At 39.4% G+C, this 10,950-nt stretch overlaps 1 annotated feature.

Annotated features, from left to right (window-relative positions):
* Positions 1,710-2,211: an enhancer, noted in NCBI's record as "NANOG hESC enhancer chr5:46382059-46382560 (GRCh37/hg19 assembly coordinates)". NCBI's record gives its function as "activates a minimal SCP1, AML or CMV promoter by ChIP-STARR-seq in primed H9 embryonic stem cells {active_cell/tissue: H9 hESC(primed)}" and the evidence as "EXISTENCE:reporter gene assay evidence [ECO:0000049][PMID:30033119]".

Below are 10,950 nucleotides of genomic sequence, written 5' to 3' on the forward strand. Positions count from 1 at the left end.
CACCCTTTTGTAGAAACTGCAAGTGGATATTTGGAGTGCTTTGAAGCCTTCATTGGAAACGGGAAAATCTTCACATAAAAACTAGACAGAAGCATTCTCAGAAACTTCTTTTAGATGTGTGCATTCAACTCACAGAGTTGTACCTTTCCTTTGATAGATCAGTTTTCAACCACTCTTTTTGTACAATCTGCAAGTGGACATCTGGCACACTTAGAGGCCAGTGGTGGAAAATTAAATATCTTCACATAAAAACTAGACAGAAGCATTCTCAGAAACTTCTTTGTGATGTGTGCATTCATCTCACTGAGTTGAACCTTCCTTTTGATAGAGCAGTTTTGAAAAACCCTTCGTAGAATCTGCAAGTGGATATTTTCAGCACTTTGAGGCATATGGTAGAAAAGGAAGTATCTTCATTTAAAAACAAGACAGAAGCATTCTCAGAAACTGCTTTGTGATGTGTGCATTCAACTCACAGAGTTGAACCTTTCTTTTGATAGAGCTGTTCTGTAACACTCTTTTTGCAGAATCTGCAAGTGGACATTTGGAGGGCTTTGGGGCCTATGGTGAAAAAGGAAATATCTTCACATAAAAAATAGACAGAAGCACTCCCACAAACTTCTTTGTGATGTTTGCATTCAACTCATAGACTTGAACACTCCTTTTCACAGAGCAGTTTGAAACACATTTTTTGTAGATTCTGCAAGAGGATAATTTGACGGCTTTGAGGCCTTCATTGGAAACGGGAATATCTTCACATAAAAACTAGACAGAAGCATTCTCAGAAAGTTCTTTGTGATGTGTGCATTCAACTCAGACAGTTGAAACTTCCTTTTGATAGAGCAGTTTTTTTTTTTGTTTTTTTTTTTTTTTTTTTTTTTTTTGAGACGGAGTCTCGCTGTGTCTCCCAGGTTGGAGTGCAGTGGCGCGATCTCGGCTCACTGCAAGCTCCGCCTCCCAGGTTCATGCCATTCTCCTGCCTCAGCCTCCCAAGTAGCTGGGACTACAGGCGCCCGCCAACACGCCCAGCTAATTTTTTGTATTTTTAGTAGAAACGGGGTTTCACCGTGTTAGCCAAGATGGTCTCGATCTCCCGACCTCGTGATCCGCCCGTCTCGGCCTCCCAAAGTGCTAGGATTACAGGCGTGAGCCACCACGCCCGGCCGATAGAGCAGTTTTGAAACAATCTTTTTATAGTATCTACAAGTGTATATTTTGTTTCCTTTGTGGCCTGTGTTGGGAAACGAAATATCTTCAGTTAAAAAGTAGACAGAATCATTCTCTGAAACTTCTTTGATATGTTTGCATTCAACTCACAGGGTTGAATATTCCTTTTCTTTTTTTTTTTCTTTTTTTCTTTTAGTATTATACTTTAAGGTTTAGGGTACATGTGCACATTGTGCCAGTTAGTTACTTATGTATACATGTGCCATCCTTTTCATAGAGGAGTTTTGAAACACTCTTCTTTTTGTAGAATCTGCAAGTGGATATTTTGAGCGCTTTGAGGTCTCTGGTGGAAAAGGGAATATCTTCCCATAAAAACTAGACAGAAGCATTCTCATAAACTTCTTTGTGATGTCTGCATTCAAATCACAGAGTTGTACATTTCTTTTGATAGAGCAGTTTTGAAATACTCTTTTTGTAGAATCTGCATGTGGACATTTGGAGTGCTTAGAGGCCTTTGGTGGAAAAGGAAATATCTTCATACAGAAACTTGACAGAAGCATTGTCAGAAACTGCTTTGTGATGTACCCACAACTAAGCAAATTGAACATTTCTTTTGATACAACAGTTTTGAAACACTCTTTTTGTAAAATCTGCATGTGGATATTTTGAGCTCTTTGAGGCCTATGGTGGAAATGGGAATATCTTCACATAAAAAATAGACAGAAGTATTCTCAGTAGCTTCTTTGTGATGTGTGCATTCAACGCAGAGAGATGAACTTTCCTTTTGATAGAGGAGTTTTGAAACACTCTTTTTTGTAGAATCTGCAAGTGGAAATTTGGAGCACTTTGAGGCCAATGGTAGAAAAGGAAATATCTTCATATAAAAACTAGACAGAAGCATTTTCAGAAATTGCTTTGTGATGTTTGCATTCAATTCACAGAGTTTAACCTTTCTTTTGATAGAGCAGTTTTGAAACAGTCTTTTTGTAAGATCTGCGAGTGGACATTAGGAGCGCTTTGAGATGTACGGTGAAAAAGGAAATATCTTCATATAAAAATAGGCAGAAGCATTATCAGAAACTGATTTCTGATGTGTGCATCAAAATTCTCAGAAACTGATTTTTGATGTGTGGAATGCGTTGAAACCTATGGTAGAAAAGGAAATATCTTCATATAAAAACTACACAGAAGCATTCTCAGAAACTTCTTTGTGATGTTTGCATTCAACTCACAGAGTTGAACATTCCTTTTCATAGAGCAGTTTTGAAACATTCTATTTCTAGAATCTGCAAGTGGATATTCGGAGTGCTTTGAGGCATTCAGTGGAAGCGGGGATATCTTCACATAAAAACTAGACAGAAGAATTCTCAGAAACTTCTTTGTCATGTGAGAATTCAACTCACAGAGTTGCACCGTTCCTTTGATAGAGCAGTTTTGAAGCACTCTTTTTGTAGAATCTGCTAGTGGACATTGGAGGGCTTTGAAGCCTGTGGTGAAAAAGGAAATATCTTCACATAAAAACTAGACAGAAGCATTCTCAGAAACTTCTTTGTGATATTTGCATTCAAATTAGAGAGTTGTACATTGCTTTTGATAGAGCAGTTTTGAAATACTCTTTTTGTAGAATCTGCATGTGTACATTTGGAGCACTTAGAGGCCTGTGGTGGAAAAGGGAATATCTTCATACAGAAACTAGACAGAAGCATTCTCAGAAACTGCTTTGTGATATGTGCATTCAACTAACAGAGTTGAACTTTTCTTTTCATAGAGCAGTTTTGAAACATTCATTTTGTTGTATCAGCAGGTGGATATTTTGAGCTCTTTGATGCCTTCGGTGGAGACGGGAATATCTTCACTTAAAAAAATAGACAGAAGCATTCTCAGAAACTTCTTTGTGTCATGTGCATTCAACTCACAGTCATGAACCTTCCTTTTGATAGAACAGTTTTCAAACACTCTTTTTCTAGAATCTGCAGGTGAATAATTGGAGCGATTTGAGGTCTATGGTTTAAAAGGAAATACCTTCATATAAAAACTAGACAGAAGCATTCTCAGGAAACACTTTGCGATGTGTGTATTCAACTCACAGAGTTGAACCTTTCTTTTAATAGAGCAGATTTGAAACACTCTTTTTGTAGAATTTGCATGTGAACATTTGGAGCACTTTGAGGGCTATGGTGGAAAGGGTAATATCTTCACAGTAAAACTAGAAAGAGGCATTTTCAGAAGCTGCTTTGTGATGGGTGCATTCAACTCACAGAGTTGAACCTTTCTTTTGATAGAGCAGTTTTGAAACACACTTTTTGTAGAATCTGCAAGTGGATATTTGGCGCGTTGGAGTGCTATGTTGGAAAAGGAAATATCTTCACATAAAAACTAGACAGAAGCATTCCAGGAAACTTCTTTGTGATGTGTGCAAAAAATTCACAGAGTTGAACCTTTCTTTTTATAGAGCAGTTTTGAAACACTCTTTTTGTAGAATCTGCAAGTGGGTATTTTGTTTTATTGAGGCCTATGGGGAAAACAAAATATCTTCTCATAAAAACTAGACAGAAGGATTCTCTGAAACTTCTTTGTGATGTGTGCATTCAACTCACAGAGCTGAACATTTCTTTTGATAGAGCAGTTTTGAGACACTGTTTTTGTAGCGTCTGCAAGTGGATATTTTGTTTTCTTTGATGCCTTTGGGGAAAACGAAATACCTTCTCATAAAATCTAGACAGAAGCATTCTCAGAAATTTCATTGTGATGTGTGCATTCAACTCACAGAGTTGAACCTTTCTTTTGACTGAGCAGTTTTGAAACACTCCTTTTGTAGTATCTGCAAATGGATATTTGGGGCACTTTATGTCCTATTGTGGAAAAGGAAATATCTTCACATAAAAACTCGACACAAGCATTCTGCGAAACTTCTTTGTGATGTGTGAATTCAACTCACAGAGTTGAACCTTTTTTTTTGATAGAGCAGTGTTGAAACACTCTTTTTGAAGAATTTGCAAGTGGGTATTTTGAGCATTTGGAGGGCTGTGGTGGAAAGCAAAATATCTTCTCACAAAAACTAGACAAAAGCATTCTCAGAAACTTCTTTGTGATGTGTGCATTCAACTCAAAGAGCTGAAAGATTCTTTTGATAGAGCAATTTTGAAACACTCTCTTTGTAGAATCTGGAAGTGGGTTTTTGGAGTGCTTGGAGGCCTATGGTGGAAAAGGTAATATATTCACATAAAAAATAGACAGAAGCATTCTCAGAAACTTATTTGGATGTGTGCATTCAACTCACAGAGTTGAACCTTTCTTTTGATAAAGCAGTTTGAAATAGTCTTTTTATAGAATTTGCAAAGGGACAGTTTGTTCCCTTTGTGGCCTATGTTGGAAAACGAAATATCCTCACATAAAAACTACACACAAGCATTCTCAGAAACTTCTTTCTGATGTGAGCATTCAACCCCAGAGGTGAAACTTTGTTTTGATAGAGAAGTTTTGAAACACTCTTTCTGTAGAATCTGCAAGTGGCTATTTTGTTTCCTTTGAGGCCTATGTTGGAAAACGTAATATCTACACATAAAAACTAGAAAGGAGCATTCACTGAAACTTCTTTTTGATGTGTGCATTCAACTCACAGAGTTTAACCTTTCTTTGAAAGAGCAGTTTTGAAACACACTTTTTGTAGAATCTGCTAGTGGATATTTTGTTTCCATTGAGGCTTATGTTCAAAAACGAAATATCTTAACATAAAAACCAGACAGAAGCATTCTCAGAGACTTCTTTATGATGTGTACATCCAGTTCAGAGGTGAACCTTTCCTTTGATTGAGCAGTTTGAAAACAATTTTTTTTATTATACTTTAAGTTTTAGGATACATGTGCACATTGTGCAGGTTAGTTACATATGTATACATGTGCCATTCTTGTGCACTGCACCCACTAACTCGTCATCTAGCATTAAGTATATCTCCCAGTGCTATCCCTCCCCTCTACCCCCACCCCACAACAGTCCCCAGAGTGTGATGTTCCCTTTCCCGTGTCCATGTGATCTCATTGTTCAATTCCCACCTATGAGTGAGAATATGCGTTGTTTGGTTTTTTGTCCTTGCGATAGTTTACTGAGAATGATGATTTCCAATTTCATCCATGTCCCTACAAAGGTCATGAACTCATCATTTTTTATGGCTGCATAGTATTCCATGGTGTATATGTGCCACATTTTCTTAATCCAGTCTATCCTTGTTGGACATTTAGGTTGGTTCCAAATCTTTGCTACTGTGAATAATGCCACAATAAATATACGTGTGCATGTGTCTTTATAGCAGCATGATTTATAGTCTTTGTGTATATACCCAGTAATGGGATGGCTGGGTCAAACGGTATTTCTAGTTCTAGATCCCTGAAGAATTGCCACACTGACTTCCACAATGGTTGAACTACTTTACAGTCCCACCAACAGTGTAAAAGTCTTCCTATTTCTCCACATCCTCTCCAGCACCTGCCATTTCCTGACTTTTTAATGATTGCCATTCTAACTGGTGTGAGATGGTATCTCATTGTTGTTTTGATTTGCATTTCTCTGATAGCCAGTAATGATGAGCATTTTTTCATGTGTTTTTGGCTGCATAAATGTCTTCTTTTGAGAAGTGTCTGTTCATGTCCTTCGCCCACTTTTTGATGGGGTTGTTTTTTTCATGTAAATTTGAGTTCATTGTAGATTCTGGATATTAGCCCTTTGTCGGATGGGTAGATTGCAAAAATTTTCTTCCACTCTGTAGGTTGCCTGTTCACTCTGATGGTAGTTTCCTTTGCTGTGCAGAAGCTCTTTAGTTTAATGAGATCCCATTTGTCAATTTTGGCTTTTGTTGCCATTGCTTTTGGTGTTTTAGAAATGAAGTCCGTGCACATGCCTATGTCCTGAATGGTAATGCCTAGGTTTTCTTCTAGGGTTTTTATGGTTTTAGGTCTAACATTTAAGTCTTTAATCCATCTTGAATTGATTTTTGTATAAGGTGTAAGGAAGGGATCCAGTTTCAGCTTTGTACATATGGCTAGCCAGTTTTCCCAGCACCATTTATTAAATAGGGAAACCGTTCCCCATTGCTTGTTTTTCTCAGGTTTGTCAAAGATCAGATAGTTGTAGATATGCGGCGTTATTTCTGAGGGCTCTGTTCTGCTCCATTGATCTATATCTCTGTTTTGGTACCAGTACCATGCTGGTGTGGTTACTGTAGCCTTGCAGTATAGTTTGAAGTCTGGTAGTGTGATGCCTCCAGGTTTGTTCTTTTGGCTTAGGATTGACTTTGCGATGCGGGCTCTTTTTTCGTTCCATATGAACTTTAAAGTAGGTTTCTCCAATTCTGTGAAGAAAGTCGTTTGTAGCTTGATGGGGATGACATTGAATCTGTAAATTACCTTGGGCAGTATGGTCATTTTCAGGATATTGATTCTTCCTACCCGTGAGCATGGAATGTTCTTCCATTTGTTTGTATCCTCTTCTATTTCCTTGAGCAGTGGTTTGTTGTTCTCCTTGAAGAGGTCCTTCACGTCCCTTGTAAATTGGATTCCTAGGTATTTTATTCTCTTTGAAGCAATTGCGAATGGGAGTTCACTCATGATTTGGCTTTCTGTTTGTCTGTTGTTTGTGTATAGGAATGCTTGTGATTTTTGTACATTGATTTTGTATCCTGAGACTTTGCTGAAGTTGCTTATCAGCTTAAGGAGATTTTGGGCTGAGACAACGGGGTTTTCTAGATATACAAACATGTCGTCTGCAAACAGGGAAAATGTGTCTTCCTCTTTTCCTAATTGAATGCCCTTTATTTCCTTCTCCTGCCTAATTGCCCTGGCCAGAACTTCCAACACTATGTTGAATAGGTGTAGTGAGAGAGGGCATCCCTGTCTTGTGCCAGTTTGCAAAGGGAATGCTTCCAGTTTTTGCCCATTCAGTATGATATTGGCTGTGGGTTTGTCTTAGATAGCTCTTATTATTTGGAAATACGTCCCATCAATACCTAATTTTTTGAGAGTTTTTAGCATGAAGGGTTGTTGAATTTTGTCAAAGGCCTTTTCTGCATCTATTGAGATAATCATGTGGTTTTTGTCTTTGATTCTGTTTATATGCTGGATTACCTTTATTGATTTGCATATATTGAACCAGCCTTGCATCCCAGGGATGAAGCCCACTTGATCATGGTGGATAAGTTTTTAATGTGCTGCTGGATTTGGTTTGCCAGTATTTTATTGAGGATTTTTGCATCAATGTTCATCAAGGATATTGGTCTAAAATTCTCTTTTTTGGTTGTGTCTCTGCTTGGCTTTGGTATCAGAATGATGCTGGCCTCATAAAATGACTTAGGGAGGATTCCCTCTTTTTCTAATGATTGGAATAGTTTCAGAAGGAATGGTACCAGTTCCTCCTTGTACCTCTGGTAGAATTGTGCTGTGAATCCATCTGGTCCTGGACTCTTTTTTGTTGGTAAACTATTGATTATTGCCACAATTTCAGATCCTGTTATTGGTCTATTCAGAGATTCAACTTCTTCCTGGTTTAGTCTTGGGAGGGTGTACGTGTCGAGGAATTTATCCATTTCTTCTAGATTTTCTAGTTTATTTGCATTGAGGTGTTTGTAGTATTCTCTGATGGTAGTTTGTATTTCTGTGGGATCAGTGGTGATATCCCCTTTATCATTTTTTATTGCGTCTATTTGATTTTTCTCTCTTTTTTTCTTTATTAGTCTTGCTAGTGGTCTATCTACTTTGTTGATCCTTTCCAAAAACCAGCTCCTGGATTCATTAATTTTTTGAAGGGTTTTTTGTATCTCTATTTCCTTCAGTTCTGCTCTGATTTCAGCTATTTCTTGCCTTCTGCTAGCTTTTGAATGTGTTTGCTCTTGCTTTTCTAGTTCTTTTAATTGTGATAGTAGGGTGTCAATTTTGGATCTTTCCTGCTTTCTCTTGTGGGTATTTAGTGTTATAAATTTCCCTCTACACACTGCTTTGAATACATCCCAGAGATTCTGGTATGTTGTGTTTGTTCTCGTTGGTTTCAAAGAACATCCTTATTTCTGCCTTCATTTCGTTATGTACCAACTAGTAATTCAGGAGCAGGTTTTCCATGTAGTTGAGCGGTTTTGAGTTAGATTTTTAATCCTGAGTTCTAGTTTGATTGCACTGTAGTCTGAGAGATAGTTTGTTACAATTTCTGTTCTTTTACATTTGCTGAGGAGAGCTTTACTTCCAAGTATGTGGTCAATTTTGGAATAGGTGTGGTGTGGTGCTGAAAAGAATGTATACTCTGTTGATTTGGTGTGGAGAGTTCTGTAGATGTCTATTAGGTCTGCTTGGTGCAGAGCTTAGTTCAATTCCTGGGTATCCATGTTGACTTTTTGTCTCGTTGATCTGTCTAATGTTGACAGTGAGGTGTTAAAGTCTCCCATTATTAATGTGTGGGGGTCTAAGTCTCTTTGTAGGTGAGCCAGGACTTGCTTTATGAATCTGGGTGCTTCTGTATTGGGTGCATGTATATTTAGGATAGTTAGCTCTTCTTGTTGAATTGATCCCTTTACCATTATGTAATGGCCTTCTTTGCCTCTTTTGATCTTTGTTGGTTTAAAGTCTGTCTTATCAGAGACTAGGATTGCAACCCCTGCCTTTTTTGTTTTCCATTTGCTTGGTAGATCTTCCTCCATCCTTTTATTTTGAGCCTGTGTGTGTCTGTGCACGTGAGACGGGTTTCCTGAATAGAGGACTCTGATGGGTCTTGCCTGTTCGTCCAATTTGCCAGTCTGTGACTTTTATTTGGAGCATTTAGTCCATTTACATTTAAAGTTAATAGGAACAGCTCCCATCTACAGCTACCAGTGTGAGCGACGCAGAAGATGGGTGATTTCTACATTTCCAGCTAAGTATGGGGTTCATCTCACTACGGAGTGCCAGACAGTGGGTGCATGTAAGTGGGTGCACACACTGTGTGTGAGCTGAAGCAGGACAAGACATTGCATCACCCAGGAAGTGCAAAGGTCAGGGATTTCCCTTTCCTACTCAAAGAAAGGGGTGACGGACAGCACCTGGGAAATCGGGTCACTCCCACCTTAATACTGAGCTTTTCTGATGGGCTTAAAAAACGGTGCACCAGGAGATTATAGCCTGCACCTGGCTCAGAGGGTCCTATGCCCACGGAGTCTCACTGATTGCTAGCACAGCAGTCTGAGATCAAACTGCAAGGTGGCAGTGAGGCTGGGGGAGGGGCACCCACCATTGCCCAGGCGTGCCTAGGTAAACAAAGCAGCCAGGAAGCTCGAACTGGATATAGCCCACCACAGCTCAAGGAGGCCTGCCTGCTTCTGTAGGCTCCACCTCTGGGTGCAGGGCACAGACAAACAAAAAGACAGCAGTAACCTCTGCAGAATTAAATGTCCCTGTCTGACAGCTTTGAAGAGAGCATTTGTTCACCCAGTATGCAGCTGGAGATCTGAGAACGGGCAGACTGCCTCCTCAAGTGGGTACCTGACCCCTGACCCCCAAGCAGCCTAACTGGGAGGCACCCGCCAGCAGGGGCAGACTGACACCTCACACAGCCGGGTACTCCAACAGACGTGCAGACAGAGAGTCCTGTCTGTTAGAAGGAAAACTAACAAACAGAAAGGACATCCACACCAAAAACCCATCTGCACATCACCATCATCAAAGAGCAAAAGTAGATAAAACCACAAAGATGGCGAAAAAAATGAGCAGAAAAACTGGAAACTCTAAAAAGCCGAGTGCCTCTCCTCCTCGAAAGGAACACAGTTCCTCACCAGAAAAGGAACAAACCTGGACTGAGAATGACTTTGACGAGCTGAGAGAAGAAGAAAGCTTCAGACAATCAAATTACTCCGAGCTATGGGAGGAGATTCAAACCAAAGGCAAAGAGTTGAAAACTTTGAAAAAAGTTTAGAAGAATGTATAAGTAGAATAACCAATACAGAGAAGTGCTTAAAGGAGCTGATGGAGCTGAAAACCAATGCTTGAGAACTACGTGAAGAATGCAGAAGCCTCAGGAGCTGATGAAATCAACTGGAAGAAAGGGTATCAGCGATGGAAGATGAAGTGAATGAAATGAAGTGAGAAGGGAAGTTTAGAGAAAAAAAAAAGAAATGAGCAAAGCTTCCAAGAAATATGGGACTATGTGAAAAGACCAAATCTACGTCTGATTGGTGTACCTGAAAGTGATGGGGAGAATGGAACCAAGTTGGAAAACACTCTGCAGGATATTATCCAGGAGAACTTCCCCAATCTAGCAAGGCAGGCCAACATTCAGATTCAGGAAATACAGAGAATGACACAAAGATACTCCTCAAGAAGAGCAGCTCCAAGACACATAATTGTCAGGTTCGCCAAATTTGAAATGAAGGAAAAAATGTTCAGGGCAGCCAGAGAGAAAGGTCGGGTTACCCTCAAAAGGAAGCCCATCAGACTAACAGCAGATCTCTCCGCAGAAACCCTACAAGCCAGAAGAGAGTGGGGGCCAATATTCAACAATCTTAAAGAAAAGAATTTTCAACCCACAATTTCATATCTGGCCAAACTAAGCTTCATAAGTGAAGGAGAAATAAAATACTTTACAGAGAAGCAAATGCTGAGAGATTTTGTCACCACCAGGCCTGCCCTAAAAGAGCTCCTGAAGGAAGCGCTAAAGATGGAAAAGAACAACTGATACCAGCCACTGTAAAATCATGCCAAAATTTAAAGACCATCGAGACTAGGAAGAAACTGCATCAACTAACAAGCCAAATAACCCATTAACATCATAATGACAGGA

This window comes from Homo sapiens, chromosome 5 (genome assembly GCF_000001405.40).
Source record: "Homo sapiens chromosome 5, GRCh38.p14 Primary Assembly".
In the NCBI taxonomy this organism is placed as follows: domain Eukaryota; kingdom Metazoa; phylum Chordata; class Mammalia; order Primates; family Hominidae; genus Homo; species Homo sapiens.